Raw genomic sequence first — 17771 nt, 5'->3', positions numbered from 1 at the left:
CAAACGGAGTCCTAGGGCAGTTGATCCACAGGGATCCATGTGTCAAACTCAGCGAAACTTGCTTGGCAGTTGTGGCAAGTAGCTATGGGAACAGCTGAGGTACAGGCCCCTCCCTTGGTGGGGAAATCGGTTTCCACTCCTTTCCCCTGGACCTCTGGGCTGACCCCTGTACTACTTCCTCTTGGCTGAGGCATGTGAGGGGCTTGTGACCATCCACACCCAGCCCTTTACAGAGGGGCAGCACTCCAGTCAGCATTGTCATTCACAGAGCCGAGAACATGGCTTTCCAGCGTCTGAGAACTCAGATGGTGACAAGAAAGCAACAGCCCAAAGGTAACCATCTGCTGGGGAAGGGGGGAGCAGAGATGCACCCAGTAGCAGGTGGGAGAGGGAAGGGGAGGTAAGAAATGAGAAGCCCAAACAGGCAGTTTCCAAGTCATTTTATTCAGAATTTTGTGTTTGTTTCCTGAATCAATAAATACTATACAAAACAATGTAAAAATGGCTACCATTTTCTCTCCCCTGCTTCCCCCCACCTGGGGACAACCCCCTGGGCAACCTCACTTAGGGGTTTTAGGGGTTCTCCCTCCAGATTTGGTCCAGCAAATGAGGCTGAGTGACATAGTCCCTTGAATCACTTTCAAAGGAGCTCAGCTGAGGTGAGGAGAGCCTCTGGGATCTGGAGGTTACTAGGTTAGGGAAATGGATTAGTGTTTTTTTTTTTTTTTTGGGAGAAGAGCCGGCGCCTGGGGCAAGAGCCTACCCCAAAGAAAAGGGTGTCTAAAATGTTCACGGTTCCTTCTTTTGCCTCAAAAAGTGACATTTATTCAAAGAAAAAAAATGACAAGATGTCCATCCCTTGGCTCCCTTCCCTCCCCCCTCCTGCTGCTCCTCAGCCCCCAGAGATTGAGCCCTGGCTGGGGCTGGGTGGCAGGACAGCCCCTCAGATGAGGTCAGCAACATTGAGGGGCATTTCCTCAATGGAGGTGTTGTAGAAGGTCTCAATGTCTCGAAGAGTCCTCTTGTCTTCTTCTGTCACCATGTTAATAGCCACACCTTTACGGCCAAACCGTCCACCTCGACCGATTCTGGAAAACAAGGAAGGGGATGAGGAATATCAGGAGCTTTAAGCCCAGGGAGGGCCAGGTGTGAAGGGGTAGGGGAGTGTTCCAGATCTACGCTTACCTGTGGATATAGTTTTCCCTGTTGGTGGGAAGGTCATAGTTGATGACTAAAGAAACCTGCTGCACATCAATGCCTCTGGCCTACGTCAAGAAAGACAACTCTTCAGCATGTGCACGGAGGACACTCTATCCCGGAGGGAAGACACTTAGGCATCCATGTGGGCAGCCAAGGAAGGCAGAGGAAATAAGCATCCCAGTTCCCCAAAGGCCTTAGGCATGCCAGATTCTATTCCAAGCTGCTACTTTCCTGAGAGGCACTGATGTCCCCTTGGAGAGGGAATCACCTTGGATCCTCCCTTCTGCCTTTGCTATCAGTTCCCTCTACTCACCAGCAGGTCAGTGGTAATCAAAACTCTGCTAGAGCCAGAACGAAACTCCCTCATAATCACGTCTCGTTCCTTTTGGTCCATATCTCCATGCTGGAAGAGAAAACAAATATGCAGCAGACCAGGTAGGCACCTGGGTTCCAGGAACCCTGGCTTCAAGTAGGACACTTCTGACGGGCAGACCCACAACAGGCTGGCAGCGGGCAAACACACCATGGCGGATACAGTGAAATCTCGAGCATGCATCTTCTCGGTGAGCCAGTCCACCTTCCTCCGGGTGTTGATGAAGATGACTGCCTGGGTGATGGTCAGGGTTTCATACAAGTCACATAGTGTGTCCAGCTTCCACTCCTGGAGGTTGGGGGACAAAAATCAGTCAGGGGCTATACCCAACAACTCACTACCAGGCCCGCCTCCTGCACTGGGCCCCACCTCTCGTTCCACGTTGATGTAGAACTGGCGGATACCCTCCAGGGTCAACTCTTCCTTCTTGACAAGAATCCGAATGGGGTCCCTCATGAACTTCTTGGTCACCTCAAGCACATCAGAAGGCATTGTGGCTGACAGCAAAACTACCTAGTGGAAAAAAAGGCCAGTCTTAGAGTGCTGGTTCCTTCCTGAGGCCTGCTCCCTTCCCTAGCCACACCTAAAACTGAAGCAGATGCATAAAAAGGCTCAAGAATCCAGTATATGGTTCCCCTGGCACTTACTATTTTTCAAGAATCATTAGCTATTCAAGCAAGACTGCCCTCACCTGGGTGTTGCTGTTGAGCTTTTGGAATATGTCATAGATCTGGTCCTTGAATCCACGGCTTAACATTTCGTCAGCTTCATCCAGTACAAACATCTTGATGTATTTGGGGGCTAGAGAAGAAAAAAAAAGCCAATATATAGCATATGATTAGGGAAATGTGGGAGAGATATATCCAACTTCGCTGATAAAAAACAGAGAGGAGCCAAGTAGTCTGCTCTCAGAGTACAAAGACTGATCCTTTGCCCAGGACCTTCCCGCCAGGCAGACAACAGCCCTGGGAAGTAGGACACTGCCAGGGCTGCACTGGCAGGGAAGCCAGAGGCTCAGATGACACGCATGGGCTCCATCACAGAGCAGCTCTTCCCCCAGAGAGAAACCAGCATCCTTGGGAATGACTCTGGCTTACGCTGAAAGACTGGAAAGCGTGCACAAGAGCAAAGTGACCCAGGGGATTGGAGAACCGAATTACTCACACAGGTATCTCCGGTTAAGCATATCAAACACACGGCCAGGGGTACCCACGATGATGTGGGGAGCTTCCATCTGCAGTTTCTGCACCTCAGCACGCACGTTGGTGCCCCCGATACAGGCGTGACAGGAGGCGCCCATGTAGTCTCCTAGTGCCATGACCACCTTCTGTATCTGAGCAGAGAGAGGCAGGTGCTCATATGTCAGTTACCACTGTGCCCGGCACCATTCTTAAATGTTTTTCATGTATTGATTCCTAACCAACAACTTTGGGGCATGCACTATTATTAAACTCACATTCAGCTGAGAAACAGGCAGAGGCTAAAATCCACTTAAGATCGTGCTGTCAATAGGTGGCAAAGACAGGATTTCAACTCAGTCTGGTTCCTGAGTGTACAGTGATTCACAATGAGGCCGCTCAGATAATTAATTCAGTTTCTTTACTCTAGATATTTAGAACCCTTAACCTTCTGAAAACTAATTTGACCAACTGCCTCATCACGCAGCAACCATTTTTTTTTTCTTTTTTTGAGACAGAGCTTTGCTCGTTGCCCAGGCTGGAGTGCAATGGCACAATCTCAGCTCACTGCAACCTCCACCTCCTGGGTTAAATTCTCCTGCCTGAGCTTCCCGAGTAGCTGGGATAAAAGGCACACGCCACCATGCCTGGCTAATTTTTGTATTTTTAGTAGAAGCGGGGTTTCACTATGTTGGCCAGGCTGGTCTCCAACTCCTGATCTCAAGAGATCTGCCTGCCTTGGCCTCCCAAAGTGTTGGGATTATACGAGTTGAGCCACCACACCCAGCCAGCAACCAGTTTTATAGAACAGGTGATGCATATCCATGTCCTATTGCACTCCTGCCATAGGACCCAAGCTACGAGGCATGTTCACTCTGAGAAAACTGAGAGCCAAGTGCCTTAGAATGGAGCTCTGCTGTAACTTCTTACATTATCCACACCCAGAATAATCACTGCCCCTGCCACAGAACATTTAAAAACATGCTCTGACATCAGTGTTGCAGCATGACCCAGGAAAAAGTCCAGCATTAGAATTGTGTGTGCCCCAGGCATGAAACAGCTCTGGCTATTAAGCAAGGGTGAAAAGGACTGTCCATCTGCTCTGACTACTGTAAGATCACCCCCACACCAAGGGATCTCTTAGCCCATAGTGAAGGTGCTTATTCAGAACACAGTCAAACTTGCCCAGCCAGCCAGGCTTCACCCAACAGCTTTCCCATTTGACTCAGGAAATGGGTGGAGGAAGCAATGGTTACGTTTGGGTAAGAAATAGCTTTTAATTAACCCAGCAGGTCTCGAGAGTGTTAGGGCACCCATGTCTTCCTCCCAAGGTGGTGATCAGAGAAGACTTCTCTGGTCCTTGGATTATACTCATCATCCCTAAATCAGCCCTGAAGGAGGGAATAGAAGCCACTCTTACCTGCTGAGCCAATTCTCGAGTGGGTGCTAGGACCAAGGCCTGGGTGGCTTTTAGATCTAATTCAATCTGCTGCAGAATCGATATGGCAAATGTGGCCGTTTTCCCAGTCCCAGATTGGGCTTGAGCAATCACATCATAACCTAAACAAATAAATTAGGAGTTGAATGTGGTAAAGAGCATACCCTTTGGGATATTCAAGTCCTAGGTTAATGAGGTCAATAAGCAACCAATGAACCAAGCATTTCATGGCTCACAAACTACCTTCCCAATCAACACAGTTACACAATGGGAACCAGATCAGAAACAAGGACCAGTTATTAACTCATCTAGTATTGCACACCAAGCTGGACTAGAAACATGGCTGTAGATGCAAATATAAGCTGGCTACAATACCACCTCTTTAAAGGAAACCTATGTGTCCAAGGCATGAACCAGGCATGGGCACGGATCAAAAGCCAAGCTGGGATGAACAAGGAGTTGCTTTGTCCCTGGCTGATATGAGATGGGCATCACCAACCAGATGCCACTCTACCCAGGTCAGGGACAGTCCACAATGTCTTCTGGGACTGAGAGGTCTCACCCTTGATACAAGGTAGAATGGCTCGCTGCTGGATGGCAGAGGGCTTCTCAAAACCATACGCGTAGATGCCACGGAGAAGGGACTCCGAGAGGTTCATGTCATCAAAGCTGTCAACAATCTCATTCCAGTTACTCTAGGGGATGCAAAGAAATTAAAGCTTGAGTCATGGAAAAGGTGGAGCTGAGCTGTAGTCTCCGAGCAAACAGAATCTGGTGCCTACTAACAAAAGCCTCAGAGCTTACAACCCTCCTCCCTTTAGGGAAACCAGCTGCTTCTAGATGATCTGGGAAATCAATCAAGAGGCCACTCTAACTCTATACGGCTGAAAGTTGTAATGGGGGAGGACAGAATTCCATTTCTCCAGTCTCACCTCGATGACGCCTTCGGGCTCCATCCCATCGGGGCCATTGTCTCTGGATCTGTTGGTTTAAAGCATAAGTTTTGTCCCCTGCCCGACCGAAGCACTCAGAAATCCTGACAGCCGGGCTCTGTCAGGAGTGGCCTGCATGATGCCATCAATCTGCTGTCCCAGATCCAACTCCCACCAGCTCCCAAAAAATACCCAAAGGAGGAGTTTCTATAAAACTGAGGCATTTGCCCCATGCAGGCAGCGGCTCAGGCCAGGCCACCCCCGACATAAGGGGGTGACCCTTTCTGAAGACAGGCCGGCAGGCGTGCCGCCGCGCTCACGGTGCCCAGAGGTGGTGCTTGCCGCCGGGTCCACGTGGGCCCGACCCAGCCGCTTAAAGCCCAAGCGCGTGCACCTCCCACCGCAGCACCAGCGCGCTGGAAGTCCCGCCCTTCACCTCCCAGATCGGAGGGTAGGACATCCCCTTCCCCCCACGTCATCCCGCCCGCGCCCTCCCCCACTCCCTCCAGCCGAAGCCCCCCCCTCGCGTTGCCCGGATGTGGGAGGCCGCGGGCGGTGGCGGCCTCGCGCACAATGAGCCCAAGCCGAGCTAGCAAAGGGGGAGATTGCACAACACTTAGAAGCGAAGCAGACTGGGGGAGGGGAACGCCTCAGGCCACCATGTGCTCGCTCCCTCGACCACCCGGCGGCGTCTCCCACCCCTCCATGAACAATCCACATCCCGCCCGCCCCCGTCGCGAAGTAGCGTCGCCCTCCCATACCTCAGGCCGCTCACCCCCGAAGGAAGGTGGACCTGCCCATCCGCAGTTTGCCAATAGCCCGGCTTGTGCGGCAAAATGGACCCGCCCGCCCGGCGCCGGGTGGGCTCCTGGTGCCTCACGCGGCCGCTCCTCGGGGTTAGGCTCAGTCCTGGCCGTCAAGAAAACCAGCACACTGAACGGCCGGTTTCTTCTCCCCGACCCGTGTTTTAGCCGCGACGAAGTGACTGGATCTAAGGACCAGGCACCCCCGCCTCTCGCGAGTGGTACCGTCAGAATGCTCCGGAACCCCGCGCGCCGTCCCTCCCCCGGCACAGGGAGGCAACCGGACCTGCCGGCTCTGGGCCACACATAGTGGCGGCCGCCTCCACCTTTCTTTCCCACGCCAGGTCGCGACCCCGTCTCGCCACTCAGCGCCGGGGCTTCGCGCATGGCACCGCCTCGGGTCGAGGCCTCGTAACAGACCTCGCACGCCTGACCCTAGCCGGGCTGTCCCTACCCTCCGCCTCGACCTGGTGGCCGCGTCGGCCGTGGGTCTTCCCCCTCGCCCCTCCAAGTCGGACCCTCCCCCCACCCGGTTCGGTTTCTCCCGCAACCCTGGTGGGCCTCTCAGCTACCCCCGGCGGGCCCGTCGGAAGGGGGCGGCAAAATAAGCAGCCACAATCTCTTGCAAATGCCTTTCTTACCGGGAATCCTGGCTCGCAGACATGATCCTTAGAAACTAGGGCGGAGTGCCCGCCTATCGACAACTTATAGAGCGCCCGACTCCGCCCCGGCCATCGCATTGGTTTGGCCGCCCCGGCCCCGCCTGCCGGCGCTCAGCAACTCGGCATGACGTTAGTTCCTAGTCGCTCCGGCCCGCAGGCACCATTGGATAACTCGAGTGCCTATCAAGGTGAAGGCCCGCCCCGCAGCCTCATTGGCTGGAGGGCCCGCCTTTCTCGCCGGTACGGAAGTGACATAGAAGAGTCAGGCCTCGAGGCCTGGCAGCCATCTTGGGGCCCTGCACTCTCACACGTGCGGAGGCGACAGTGCCTTGGTCATGTGGCTCCGTAGGCCCTATCACGCAAGGGGGGCGAGGTCTCAGCCTCCAGAGGCTTCCGGGCTCTGGGGGTTATCACTTCCCTTTACTTCTGCTCCCGGTCTCCACTGGACTCAAATGTTATTTGTTTTCCCCTGTAGCAGAGATGGATTCGACACTGCCTGGACGTGTGCCAGGGATGAAGGAATCAACAGCGATATCGTAGGGATGGGAGGATTCCCCTGGCTGGATGGTGGAGGGATGGAAGAAAACTGTAAAGGGCTTTGGGGTACTATCATGAATCCTGGTTGGTCCCCTCCCCAGTCCCTTGTGTCCAGTTCCCCAGCTTCCCTCTCGGATGCCCTTATTCTTGAGGCTTATCTACTTTCCCTCCTTCCTGCTCTCTGCTCCCATCTCGGGGATTTGTTTGGGTGAAGACAAGGTGTTGGCAGTGCCTGAGCCAGGGATGGAAAGCTGAACCCTTTAGTCTCAAGAGACTGGCTGGAAGGTCTGAGCTAAGCATATCCACTAATTTGAAGCCCCTTAAGGAAGACCACCACTTACGTATCAACAAAGGATCCTTTATTGACCAGAGCAGGACCGTGGCATTTATATATTTTTATATATATATATATATATATATATATATATATATATATATATATATATATATATATATATATATATATATAAAAGTTTGAAGATCTGGCAGGCAGTGATCCTATTGTCCGCCCACCACCCCCAGCACTGATTTCCTGCTCCCTGCACGGGGAAGGGGGAGGATGACTGCTCCACCCAGGCCACAGGGCCACACTCCCCTGCAAACAGAGGAAGAAAGGGGCTTTTCTGTAGCCACCCCCTGCACATCAGAAATCAACAAGTATTCTCTCAAAGAAAAAAAAATACAGAAATTGAAACATTTAAATATGAAAAACCAAAGGGAAGTGAGTGGGAAGAGGCAAGAGAGGAAAGGAACTGGAGTTTCTTGGGAAGGGACTCCCATGTCTCCCTTCCCATTTATGGGCTTGGGGTCTGGGGTACGAGGCTCACACAGTGAGTTTGCAGTGACACAGCTCCTTGTAGATCTGCCGACGAAGTTTGGGCATGTCCTGCTGGGTGAAGCTGAATGGCTGAGACAGGGCCAGATGCTTGCAGTACTGGGTGTTAACAAAGCAAGCCATGAGAAACCCCCCGTGTCAGGACCTGTGCTACACATTTCATATGAGATGTGTCTCCATCCTTCAGAGAACATCCCCAAAGGGAGCCAGGGTCCCACAGCCTGGGGTTCAAAAACAGCCTGACTCTAAAGCTAGTGTTCTTACTTGATAGAATGTTTTAGATGGAGAAAATACACTGAGTTGGAGGTTAGCAGGGAGCTCTATGAAGGCCAGAGGCCCAAGACTAGAGACCCAGTCCCAATGTGGGATGGAGAAGTCCAGAAGAGAACCAGTGAAGCCAGTGTTTTGGTGTTCTAAAACAGATTACTTCCTGCTCCACAACTGACTATGAGCCAAATGAGGGGATGCATAACAGCCTCCCGACCCTTTAACCCAACTGACTTCAGAGCTAGGGGAGGTGGCCCCATCATCTGCTTACCTGCAACACAAAAGCACCACAGTCACTGTCATTATTCTGCCTGGCCACATTCTAGAGAAGAGAAAGAAAGCAGGCCCTTCACATGGAGACTCCCAGGGGTAGGACTTCAATTTCTGCCTTCTACCACTGTCCCCACCAACACCCTATACCCCTCCCTCAGGAAACTCACCATTTTGAAGTAACCTTTCCAGCCCTGGTGGAAATCCAGTCGGTCTTTCTTTACCGCCTCTGCCTGTAGATACTTGGCAATATGCTATGTGGATGGGGGAAAAGAAAGTGATGCCCTAAGTTTCTCAATTGAACACAGTATGGTGGGTACAGTGCTGGCAGACACCATGCCCAGGTCGCCCCTCAAAGACCCAAAGCCCACCCTTCTTCCTGCAATGCCTTGCCACTGCACCGCCCCACATTTTGCCCATCTCTCTCCTACCCCCTCAAACCTTAGGGCAGCGGCGGTTTAGGGTACGCTGCGAGTCAAAATAGGTGATGGTGCGTCGCCTCACATCAACAGAGATGAGGGACCAATGCACCTCCAGGTGGATGGGGATTAGCAGTAGCTCCTTATTGAAGATGTCCACCTAAAGAGATAGTGCCACAGGTCAGGTACAACAAACAGAAGTCTTGCCTTTTGCCATGAAGGTTCTAGAGAGGAACAGAGACACAGGTAAGGGAACCAAGTGAAAGAACAGAAGACCCAAGGCCTAGATTGTGGGCAAGCTCAGGATCTGCATGTTTCGGTTCTTCGGGGTAAGGGAGGAAGGTCAGACAATGGAGGAGACATCAGAACGAACACTGGAGAACCCATGATGGGCAGGCGCTTTTCACACTTTAAAGGGAGAAGCACTTAGCAGCTAAGAACCCAGGCCCAGGATTCTGGAGCCTGCCAGAATTCAAATACAGCTCCTCCATTTACTGGCTTATGACAGTGGGCAACCTACTTAATAACCTTCTATACCTCAGTTTCCTTATCTGTCAGAGAGTGTAAATAGTAGTACCTACACCTCATCCATTTGATATGAGGATTAAACTAGTGACTATCCATAATACACTTAGAACAAGACACAGCACAAAGTAAACACGCAGTTAATGCTCATAACAATCCTACCGGGAAGTTCTCAACATTCAACCTAACAGATGAGGAAATTGCAGCTTGGAAAGTCGTGACTTGCACAAGGTCATGAAAGAAAGAAATGGCAGAAGTGGGACTCAAACTCAGTATGAAGAAGGCCAACATGTTTTTCACTGTACGTCACCACCCTTCCCTCTACTGCAAGAAGATCCCTGAGGGTGTAAGCTCTTGATTTTGAGGACTGAAATTAAGGAATGCCGGAGCCAATCATCCTGCCTAGCTGTAGAAATTTCCTGGCCTTTGAATGGGAGGGCAGGGAAACCAGAAGAGAAAAGAACTCTTCATTTTCCTCCCCCAACCTGTTCCTCTCCCACTTTTCCCGTTACATAGGCCAAAAACCTAGGCATCATCCTCCATTTCTTTTTCTTCATTTCCCACATCCAACCTGCGGAGGAAAAAACAAATCTTTTTTTTTTTTTTGAGACGGAGTCTTGCTCTGTTGCCCAGACTGGAGTGCAGTGGCGTGATCTTGCCTCACTGCAAGCTCCACCTCCTGGGTTCATGCCATTCTCCTGCCTCAGCCTCCCAAGTAGCTTGGACTACAGACACGTGCCACCTCGCCCGGCTAATTTTTTGTATTTTTAGTAGAGACAGGGTTTCACTGTGTTAGCCAGGATGGTCTTGATCTCCTGACCTGGTGATCCGCCCGCCTCAGCCTCCCAAAGGGCTGGGATTACAGGCGTGAGCCACCGCGCCCGGCAAAAAAACAAATCTTCTTTCCTACTATACTCTCACAACACAAAATACTTCTGTAACCTGTGGTCACCAAGAAGTGTTTGTGGGGCTTTCTCTCCACCAACAACCAAGCAAGCAATTTTGCGGTGGACACAGCTGGGTATCCCCCAATTCAATTCCAACACTATCTACCTGGAGATAATGTGTCACAGGTTTAGGGCTCAGTCTCACAAGGCTGCCCCCAATTCTGATGCCAGTCCTAAGCCCCAGGTTGTTTTATCTGTGTTTCTCACCAACTGGTTAGATCAGCGTTCCCATGACCCCCTCCTTGAATTTGATTAATTTGCTAGAGCAGCTCACAGAACTCATGGAAACACATTTACCAGTTTATTAACAAAGGGTAGTACAAAGAGTACAGATGAAAAGATGCACAGGGAAAGGTACCGGGAAGAGGCCTGGAGACCATCCTGTGGGAGCCTCCATGCCTTCAGCTATCTAGAATGTCTCCAAACTCCTCCTCTCGGGTTTTTTTTTCTTTTTTGAGACAGAGTTTCACTCTGTCACCCAGGGTGGAGTGCAGTGGCACAATCTCGGCTCACTGCAACCTCTGCCTCCCGGGTTCAAGCGATTCTCCTGCCTCAGCCTCCCGGGGACTACAGGCGCACGCCACCACGCCCAGCTAATTTTCATATTTTTAGTAGAGACAGGGTTTCGCCAGGTCGGCCAGGCTGGTCTCAATCTCTTGACCTTGCGATCCATCTGCCTCAGCCTCCCAAAGTGCCGGGAGTACAGGCGTGAGCCGCCGCACCCGGCCCCTTTCCGGTTTTTAGAGGCTTCACTACTAGGCATGACTGATTAAATCACTGATCCTCAGTGATTGCCTTAACCTTTGGCCCCATTCCCCTCCCAGGAAGTTGGTGGGGGTGAGGCTGAAAGTTCCAACCCTCTAATCATGAAGCCACCTAGAGGGGCTAGCCATGAATCAACTCATCAGCACACAAAAACACACATCACTGGAGATTCCAAGGATTTTAGAAGTTGAATGCCAGGAGCCTGGTCAGGAGACCAAATATGTATCTCTCAGTATCACAGAGCCTGTCAGTCCTACTGGTTTTACTCGTAAAATTTATCCTACATAAAACTACTCTCTCTCTCTTCCTTTAGCACTCCAGTTCAAGTTTCTCACCTGGACTACTGTGCTCTGTTCCTGCTTCCATTCTTGCCCCCCTTTCAATCTGTCATTGAAACAGGAGTTTAAAACAGAAGGCACTTCTCAGCCTGCTTAAAACTCAATGGCTTCTCAGTATACACGCAATAAAATCCCCCCTCCTCAGCCTACCGTACATGTCTTACATGATCTACTCTCTGACCGAATTTTGTATCCATCTCCCTTTGCTCACTCTGCGCCAACTACACAGGTCACCCCCACAAGCCCTCTGTTCCTCAGCCATGGTTTTTCACTATGGGTCTTGTGTACTTGCTATTCCCAGGTCTGCGCATGGCTGGCTGCTCATCATTCACGTCTCAGCTATGAGAGGCCTTCCTAGATCACCCAATCTAAAGTACCCACTTCCCACGCTATGACATTACTGTGATTTTTTTTTTTTTTTGAGACGGAGTTTTGCTCTTGTTGCCCAGGCTGGAGTGCAATGGCGGGGTCTCGGCTCACTGCAACCTCTGCCTCCCAGGTTCATGGGATTCTCCTGCCTCCGCCTCCAGGAATAGCTGGGCTTACAGGCCACCTGCCATCACACAGGGCTAATTTTTGTATTTTTAATAGAGATGGGGTTTCTCAATGTTGGCCAGGCTAGTCTCGAACTCCTGACCTCAGGTGATCCGCCCGTGTTGGCCTCCCAAAGTGCTGGGGATTACAGGCGTGAGCCACTGCGCCCAGCCTCACGTTACTCTGTGTTGATCTGCCCACAGCACTTATCACTAGCTGCAATTTAACTTTAAGGGCAAGTTTTCCTTATTTAACACTGTATCCTTAGTGCCTACACACACAAGAGACGTTTAATCTTTGAAAGACTGAATGAACACGGTCAGGGAAAGGGCTCAGAGAAAACAAGACTCTCATTCTTTAGAGGCAAGGCATTACACAAGTGGATGTGAATTCAAAACTCACGTTTTTGGTCCACCTTTTCACCCCATCATAACCCTTGGTACGGAGTTTATCATAGAAGAAACTATTGAAGAAATGCACCTGTGCCAATGACACAAAAAAGCTCAATGGAATTAAAAGACCTCAGACTCTCCCACTAAGTCTCCCCTCCTCAGTCCACTGACAGTAAAAACAAATTCTGGGTTTTTTCTTTTTTTTTTGGTAGAGACAGGGTCTCACTATGTTGCCCAGGTTGGTCTCAAACTCCTGGCCTCAATCTGTCTGTCTGCCTGCCTCGGCCTTCCAGAGCATTGAGATTATAGGTATGAGTCAACAAACCAGGCTTTTTTTTTTTTTTTATTTGAGGCAGGGCCTTGCTCTGTCGCCCACGCTGGAGTGCAGTGGCATGATTTCGACTCGCTGCAACCTCCGCCTCCCGGGTTCAAGCGATTCTCCCGCCTCAGCCTCCCGAGTAGCTGGGACTACAGGTACCCGCCACTATGCCCAGCTAACTTTTTTGTATTTTTATATTTTTAGTTGAGCCAGGGTTTCACCATGTTGGCCAGGCTGGTCTGGAACTCCTGACCTCGGGTGATCCACCCGCCTTGGCCTCCCAAAGTGCTGGGATTACAGGAATGAGTCACCGCACCCAGCCGAAGTTGTTTTTTGTCTTTTTTTTTTTTTTTGAGACAGAATTCCGCTCTTGTTGCCCAGGCGGGAGTGCAATGGCGTGGATCTCGACTCACCGCAACCTCCGCCTCACGGGTTCAAGCAGTTCTCCTCCCTCAGCCTCCCGAGTAACTGGGATTATAGGCATGCACCACCATGCCCGGCTAATTTTGTATTTTTAGTAGAGACGGGATTTCTCCATATTGGTCAGGCTGGTCTTGAACTCCCGACCTCAGGTGATCCACCCGCCCTGGTCTCCCAGAGTGCTGGGATTACAGGCATGAGCTACCATGCCCGGTGGCCTTTTTCTTTTTCTTTTTTTTTTTAAATCTTGTTTTACAATAGTTACAATAGGAACCCATCCCAATCCTTGGGGCTGGCCATAGCGAAAAACACTAAATACTGGCAGAAAGGAAAACAACTGATAAATCCAGAGCCCAAGATTACGGATTTGAAATTAATACACTACCACTACCACCTCTCTCCCTGAAACAGAGACCCTCTCTGTGTAAAATGAAAGAGATGAAAGGAGCTTAAAAAGCTGCTTAAAACTGCAGAAGTTCCTCTGGGTACTGACCTATCTGGTTGGGCCTACCTTTTCAGGGACTGTGTCCATGACCAGGTCTCCATACATGTTCATCACCTGGGGAGAAGATGGGAGGCAGCTTGCCATGGAGGGTGCGGCATGGGTACAGGGCTCCCCCATGCAGAGGGCCCCAGACACCCTGCTCCCTGAATCCCCTCTCAGGCCTGTTTCTCTACCCTTTCTCACCTGGTCATTGAGCCAGTTCTGTCCATACAAGGTCCCCAAGTCATCCATGGTCAGCACGTGCCGCTTATAAGCCACTCGGAAGCCCCTCACCATGGCATTGCCTGGCATCCGCTGGTAAGACTGGATCAGCTGCAACACCAGGCCCTTCCTGAGTAGGCCAAGGGTGGAGTCACACAAAAGATGATGCAGCTGGGGCACACAGAAATACCTACTACTCCCTGGAATACAAATTCTAACTGACTCCCTTTTTTCTGGCTCATGATGGGTCCTTCTGAGGACCTGCGAAAGGCCCACTCCCCAGAAAGATAAACATGACTACTCAGGTAGAACATTTCAGGGTCCCAGGTAAAGACTCTCCCATCAGCTTCCAAGGATTTGGCACCTGCCTGCAGAGTCCTCCCCTTCAGCTCTAGCTTCCTCCTCCCCAACTACAGCCCTATGGAAGAAAAGGCAGCAGTATTCTCTCCACATCCCCAAGGCCCCAGCCCTTCTTTCAAGGAGGGCTTTCAAGCCTCACCTGGAAGGGGTGGAAAACTCCTGCTGGAAAATGTCCTCCAGCTTCTCTACTACCTCATCAGTGCTGAGGGGTATGAGGCTGCCATACGTTTGAAGGAATTCGTCCAAGATGCCTGGTGGAAAGGGAGAGAGGAGGGGGTGAGGCCTCCAGACTCTCCTCTAGGAGTCGGAGAAGGGAGAGAGGCTAGTTGCTTAAGGGCTCCTTACTCTGTACGCAGGTCACATGCTCCTCTCGCAGGGGGCTGTGCTGGCCGGCTTTCTCCCCAGGCCTCTCTGCCTCTTCTGCCATGCCCAAATCTGAGCCCTGAAAAAGCTCCTGGGCCACATGGTCCCCGATGCTGCACACATTGCTGATGAGGATGCTGGCATCAGGGGGTGCCAAGCTGCGCTCCCCTTCTGGCCCAGATTGTCCCCCAAAACCGTTGGGCAGAGTACATGAAAGGAGGCCTATAGGGCAGGGGAAATGGAATGGGCATGAGAGACTGGCCTGGGGAAAGCACAATGGGATGCACACAGTTGACTCATGCATGCAAATAAGACCGCAAGAAGGATACACTGAAGCAGAATCCACCAATGTCAATCCCACTCCAAGAAATGGGGACCCCATAAGCATGAGATAAACATGTCCAAGAGATTCTACAGGGATGGAGAGAGAGTTCCTACTCATAGACAGGAAGAAAGAAAAAGGATTAGCATTTAGAAATGAAAACTTCGGGATATTTGTCACCACTATATGCCAAACACCCAGCATAGTACCCAGCATATTGTAAAGGCTCAATGAATACTAGAATATGTAATAAAGACCTAGAGAGCCTGAAACTGTTTGGCTGGAGTTCTCCGAAAGGGAAATATTCTTTCACAACTGTAAGATGATGTACTCCACTACTGGGAGAGATCCCATCCCGTCACTTTGGGAATGGTACCCTCTGGAGATGTATACACGGGGGTTCTTATACTGAGAGGCCGACAAGGGATTTCGTGTGGACAGGATTTTTGTAAACCACATCTCCCTTTCTCATCTGCGCTCAAGACCACGGGATACCTACTTAGGGCATCTGTTTCCTAGCTCTGCCTGGGAAACTGCCAGGCTCACTCCCAGGCTTACTTTCTGCTCAAAGTGGGGCTTAATGGAGACATTTCGCAGCTCTTCTGGAGCCGGCACTCTTCCATCCTACTTTCCTTAAGCCCAGCTCTCACCATGGCAACAGGCTCCTGGTGCTCCAGGCTCTTAACCCTCCCTAACCCCTCCCCCGCAACCCCACACCCCTTTCCCACCTTACCCGAGTCAGGGTCCAGAGGAGACTTTGGAGTCCACCTGAGTCCATCTTCCTCCATGGGGGGCCCAGAGGGCACTGGTGGAGACCCTCTCACCCCATCCTCAGCCATGAGAGCACCTAGCAGACCCAGCCGGGGTGGAGGTGGCCCCCGGGGGGAGTCAAAACGACAACAGGGGGATGGCACCTGTGGCGTCGCACCCCCTTGCTGGGGTGAAAGATGGTTCTTGGGGTGTGCGAGGCCCCGCCGCCGGCCCCGGTGGCGCCCCCAAAGCTTCCAGTGGAATGTCAGCGAGGTGCTTTTTGAGTAGAGCAGCATCCGGAAGGCTCTCATGGCTCGGCGGCGGCGCTGTGAGCAGGTTTTTCGATGAGTGGGGCGGGAAGGGCGGGGCCGCTGGGAGGTTCCCAGCTGACTCCATCTTGGGGGCAGCCTCCAAGCTGCCACTTCCTCCTCTTCATCTTCATCCTCCTCCTCCTCCTCTTCTTCCTCCTCTTCACTTGCTGAGGCATCAAAAGAGGGTCGGGGGACAGGGAGGCGTCTGGCTGGCACTGTGGTCCCTGACCCAGGATCTGGCCCAAACCCTCCACCTGACTTGAGTCGGGGTTTGGGAGGTGGGGGCCAACGAAGACGCTCCCGCCTGGGACTTGAGTAAGCTGGGGGTATGCCGGGTCCAGGAGGCTCAGGCCCCCAGGACCCGGTCCCTTGTATAGTCTCTTTCATCTTCCAGTACCCTGAAAAACAAAAGATCAGGGTATCAAAATCTAAGCATCACCCCACCGCAGATCCTGCCTCTCTTCCTGGCCATGCCTCCTCTGGATTCAGATGCAAATAAAGAAAAGAGGAAAAAACGCAAAACTCCTAACTTAAGATCTTCCCGGTTAACGCGGTCCACAAGGGGCCCTTCAGGGTCTGTGCCATCATCTCTCCCCAGTCCAGAGACAAGGGAAAATGGCTAAGCAGCAGGCCTCAGAGATCTTATTTCTAAGATCACCAGGCCAAACCCAATAGCACTGCCAGGTTCTACGTCTTTATTTTAATACCACCAGGGCTGTCCTTTGAGGGCCCAACAAGGGCAGTTTCTTTCCTCAGGGACATGATAACCGTGGTACTTGAGGAGAATGCAACTTGCACGTGGAAACTGGACTGGAATGGGAGACAGTTCTCTAACACCCTGGATGAACGGGGGGCATGGGAAGGCTGCGGTCATCTCAAGTGCAGATGCCAGGGATATGGTTCAGGGGGCAGAGGCTGATAAACGGGGAAGAACTTTGAAGGAAACTTAAAGAGAACCGAATCAAGACGCTGGGACAGAACGGAGCGCACAAGCCAGGCCGGCCCAGCCCCCTCCTACTTCATCCTCGGGGACCAGAATGCAACCCGGCACCAGTCCGGTCCCACGAGCTTGGATGGCTCGGCGCACACGGGCCTTAAGAAGCCCCTATGCGGGCCTCTGGGCCCCGGTTCGGTGGGAGCGAGGCCCAGGAATGGGAGAGGCCAAGGCAGGGCTGGGGGGAGGGGAGGGGGCGTCCTCACCGGGAGCGGGGAAGCCGGGCGGACGGGCCCGAAGGCGGGCGTCTCCGGCCTCAAGCTTCCCGGCTCATCTCTCCGGCGACGGCGGCGGCCCCGCCACTCCTGCTGTCTTTAGGCGCAGCCGTCTCAATTCAGGATTCCAACGCTTCTGGGCCGCGTGCCGCGCCGCCGAGCACCCCGCCGCGCCGCCTCTGGCTCTGCTTCAGCTTCAGCTTCCACCTCCACCTCCACCTCCGCCACCGCCGCCACCAGCGCCACCGCCGCCGCCGCCACTCCTCCCCCCCTCCTCCTTCCCCTCCCGCGAGCCCCGGGCCCACCGGCAGCGGTGGCGCACGATTAGTACGTCACACCCGGCGAAGAGCGCCGGCGCGGCCACCAAGCGCGCGGTCCCGTCTACCCGAGGACGCCGGCGCCACGGGACTGGCCAGCCCAGAGCGCTACGCGAGGCTGCGCCTGCGCACATCCGCCGCCCGGCCGCGCGTGGCGGCCCCGCCACTTTCCCTTTTGCGCCGCGCTCTGTCTTCTCCGCGCTCGCGGGCCTGACCCTAGCGGCATCCCCAGTACCTTGATCCGGCGGGGGGCGCGCCACAGGAGAGCCAGGAGGGCGG

The 17771-nt window shown here is 52.6% G+C and overlaps 2 protein-coding genes, 1 long non-coding RNA gene and 3 other non-coding genes across 7 annotated transcripts, besides 14 other annotated features; all 6 read right to left on the bottom strand.

Annotated features, from left to right (window-relative positions):
* Positions 424 to 6605, bottom strand: EIF4A1 (eukaryotic translation initiation factor 4A1). Of its 2 annotated transcripts, none has more exons than NM_001416.4 (11): positions 6566 to 6605; positions 5122 to 5170; positions 4752 to 4884; positions 4172 to 4311; positions 2738 to 2906; positions 2265 to 2374; positions 1943 to 2086; positions 1724 to 1861; positions 1514 to 1603; positions 1186 to 1265; positions 424 to 1088 (listed from the first exon to the last, which is right to left on the bottom strand). In NM_001416.4, exons 1-11 carry the CDS (start codon positions 6586 to 6588, stop codon positions 944 to 946), a joined length of 1221 nt encoding a protein of 406 aa, NP_001407.1. In that variant the 5' UTR covers positions 6589 to 6605; the 3' UTR covers positions 424 to 943. The 2 variants fall into 2 exon arrangements, with proteins under 2 accessions (NP_001407.1, NP_001191439.1); NM_001204510.2 differs by having other exon boundaries at positions 1186 to 1203.
* Positions 424 to 17438, bottom strand: SENP3-EIF4A1 (SENP3-EIF4A1 readthrough (NMD candidate)). Its single transcript, NR_037926.1, has 22 exons — positions 17167 to 17438; positions 15639 to 16364; positions 14566 to 14805; positions 14360 to 14471; positions 13843 to 13990; positions 13666 to 13713; positions 12426 to 12503; positions 8937 to 9074; positions 8666 to 8749; positions 8497 to 8547; positions 7951 to 8057; positions 6566 to 7146; positions 5122 to 5170; positions 4752 to 4884; positions 4172 to 4311; positions 2738 to 2906; positions 2265 to 2374; positions 1943 to 2086; positions 1724 to 1861; positions 1514 to 1603; positions 1186 to 1265; positions 424 to 1088 (listed from the first exon to the last, which is right to left on the bottom strand). It is a non-coding gene; the product is annotated as an SENP3-EIF4A1 readthrough (NMD candidate) (long non-coding RNA).
* Positions 603 to 791: a silencer, noted in NCBI's record as "fragment chr17:7481957-7482145 (GRCh37/hg19 assembly coordinates)". NCBI's record gives its function as "represses an EF-1alpha promoter that drives an FKBP-Casp9 reporter gene in an ReSE screen in K562 erythroleukemia cells {active_cell/tissue: K562}" and the evidence as "EXISTENCE:reporter gene assay evidence [ECO:0000049][PMID:32094911]".
* SNORA67 (small nucleolar RNA, H/ACA box 67) lies at positions 1339 to 1475 on the bottom strand. Its single transcript, NR_002912.1, has one exon. It is a non-coding gene; the product is annotated as a small nucleolar RNA, H/ACA box 67 (small nucleolar RNA).
* SNORD10 (small nucleolar RNA, C/D box 10) lies at positions 2472 to 2619 on the bottom strand. Its single transcript, NR_002604.2, has one exon. It is a non-coding gene; the product is annotated as a small nucleolar RNA, C/D box 10 (small nucleolar RNA).
* Positions 4583 to 4717, bottom strand: SNORA48 (small nucleolar RNA, H/ACA box 48). Its single transcript, NR_002918.1, has one exon. It is a non-coding gene; the product is annotated as a small nucleolar RNA, H/ACA box 48 (small nucleolar RNA).
* Positions 4840 to 5595: an enhancer, noted in NCBI's record as "H3K27ac hESC enhancer chr17:7477153-7477908 (GRCh37/hg19 assembly coordinates)". NCBI's record gives its function as "activates a minimal SCP1, AML or CMV promoter by ChIP-STARR-seq in naive H9 embryonic stem cells {active_cell/tissue: H9 hESC(naive)}" and the evidence as "EXISTENCE:reporter gene assay evidence [ECO:0000049][PMID:30033119]".
* Positions 4840 to 5657: a biological region, named in NCBI's record as "H3K27ac hESC enhancer GRCh37_chr17:7477153-7477908".
* Positions 5248 to 5377: an enhancer, noted in NCBI's record as "active region_11633". NCBI's record gives its function as "activates an Ori minimal core promoter by ATAC-STARR-seq in GM12878 lymphoblastoid cells {active_cell/tissue: GM12878}" and the evidence as "EXISTENCE:reporter gene assay evidence [ECO:0000049][PMID:35858748]".
* Positions 5518 to 5657: a silencer, noted in NCBI's record as "silent region_8131". NCBI's record gives its function as "represses an Ori minimal core promoter by ATAC-STARR-seq in GM12878 lymphoblastoid cells {active_cell/tissue: GM12878}" and the evidence as "EXISTENCE:reporter gene assay evidence [ECO:0000049][PMID:35858748]".
* Positions 5596 to 6351: an enhancer, noted in NCBI's record as "NANOG-H3K27ac-H3K4me1 hESC enhancer chr17:7476397-7477152 (GRCh37/hg19 assembly coordinates)". NCBI's record gives its function as "activates a minimal SCP1, AML or CMV promoter by ChIP-STARR-seq in naive and primed H9 embryonic stem cells {active_cell/tissue: H9 hESC(naive and primed)}" and the evidence as "EXISTENCE:reporter gene assay evidence [ECO:0000049][PMID:30033119]".
* Positions 6558 to 6617: a silencer, noted in NCBI's record as "silent region_8130". NCBI's record gives its function as "represses an Ori minimal core promoter by ATAC-STARR-seq in GM12878 lymphoblastoid cells {active_cell/tissue: GM12878}" and the evidence as "EXISTENCE:reporter gene assay evidence [ECO:0000049][PMID:35858748]".
* Positions 6628 to 6687: a silencer, noted in NCBI's record as "silent region_8129". NCBI's record gives its function as "represses an Ori minimal core promoter by ATAC-STARR-seq in GM12878 lymphoblastoid cells {active_cell/tissue: GM12878}" and the evidence as "EXISTENCE:reporter gene assay evidence [ECO:0000049][PMID:35858748]".
* Positions 6858 to 6927: an enhancer, noted in NCBI's record as "active region_11632". NCBI's record gives its function as "activates an Ori minimal core promoter by ATAC-STARR-seq in GM12878 lymphoblastoid cells {active_cell/tissue: GM12878}" and the evidence as "EXISTENCE:reporter gene assay evidence [ECO:0000049][PMID:35858748]".
* Positions 7048 to 7107: an enhancer, noted in NCBI's record as "active region_11631". NCBI's record gives its function as "activates an Ori minimal core promoter by ATAC-STARR-seq in GM12878 lymphoblastoid cells {active_cell/tissue: GM12878}" and the evidence as "EXISTENCE:reporter gene assay evidence [ECO:0000049][PMID:35858748]".
* Positions 7128 to 7177: an enhancer, noted in NCBI's record as "active region_11630". NCBI's record gives its function as "activates an Ori minimal core promoter by ATAC-STARR-seq in GM12878 lymphoblastoid cells {active_cell/tissue: GM12878}" and the evidence as "EXISTENCE:reporter gene assay evidence [ECO:0000049][PMID:35858748]".
* Positions 7208 to 7267: an enhancer, noted in NCBI's record as "active region_11629". NCBI's record gives its function as "activates an Ori minimal core promoter by ATAC-STARR-seq in GM12878 lymphoblastoid cells {active_cell/tissue: GM12878}" and the evidence as "EXISTENCE:reporter gene assay evidence [ECO:0000049][PMID:35858748]".
* On the bottom strand, positions 7461 to 17511 carry SENP3 (SUMO specific peptidase 3). Its single transcript, NM_015670.6, has 11 exons — positions 17167 to 17511; positions 15639 to 16364; positions 14566 to 14805; positions 14360 to 14471; positions 13843 to 13990; positions 13666 to 13713; positions 12426 to 12503; positions 8937 to 9074; positions 8666 to 8749; positions 8497 to 8547; positions 7461 to 8057 (listed from the first exon to the last, which is right to left on the bottom strand). The coding sequence occupies exons 2-11, from the start codon at positions 16351 to 16353 to the stop codon at positions 7947 to 7949; spliced, it is 1725 nt and encodes a 574-aa protein (NP_056485.2). The 5' UTR covers positions 16354 to 16364; positions 17167 to 17511; the 3' UTR covers positions 7461 to 7946.
* Positions 16045 to 16741: an enhancer, noted in NCBI's record as "H3K4me1 hESC enhancer chr17:7466006-7466702 (GRCh37/hg19 assembly coordinates)". NCBI's record gives its function as "activates a minimal SCP1, AML or CMV promoter by ChIP-STARR-seq in naive H9 embryonic stem cells {active_cell/tissue: H9 hESC(naive)}" and the evidence as "EXISTENCE:reporter gene assay evidence [ECO:0000049][PMID:30033119]".
* Positions 17368 to 17447: a silencer, noted in NCBI's record as "silent region_8128". NCBI's record gives its function as "represses an Ori minimal core promoter by ATAC-STARR-seq in GM12878 lymphoblastoid cells {active_cell/tissue: GM12878}" and the evidence as "EXISTENCE:reporter gene assay evidence [ECO:0000049][PMID:35858748]".

Source organism: Homo sapiens, chromosome 17 (assembly GCF_000001405.40).
Source record: "Homo sapiens chromosome 17, GRCh38.p14 Primary Assembly".
Taxonomy (NCBI): domain Eukaryota; kingdom Metazoa; phylum Chordata; class Mammalia; order Primates; family Hominidae; genus Homo; species Homo sapiens.
This window is presented reverse-complemented; position numbering and strand designations above follow the sequence as displayed.

What these genes read in the sequence shown, in the direction of transcription:
- EIF4A1 (NM_001416.4), bottom strand. Translation starts at nt 6,588, where the DNA reads ATGTCTGCGAGCCAGGATTCCCG. An exon ending in ACATCAACGTGGAACGAGAG is followed by an intron (nt 1,862 to 1,942) that starts GTGGGGCCCAGT and finishes CCCAACCTCCAG; the next exon opens with GAGTGGAAGCTGGACACACT. An exon ending in ATTTCACTGTATCCGCCATG is followed by an intron (nt 1,604 to 1,723) that starts GTGTGTTTGCCC and finishes TTTCTCTTCCAG; the next exon opens with CATGGAGATATGGACCAAAA.
- SENP3 (NM_015670.6), bottom strand. Translation starts at nt 16,353, where the DNA reads ATGAAAGAGACTATACAAGGGACCGGGTCCTGGGGGCCTGAGCCTCCT. An exon ending in TCCTCTGGACCCTGACTCGG is followed by an intron (nt 14,806 to 15,638) that starts GTAAGGTGGGAA and finishes CCTGCCCTATAG; the next exon opens with GCCTCCTTTCATGTACTCTG. An exon ending in GCATGTGACCTGCGTACAGA is followed by an intron (nt 14,472 to 14,565) that starts GTAAGGAGCCCT and finishes CCTTTCCACCAG; the next exon opens with GCATCTTGGACGAATTCCTT.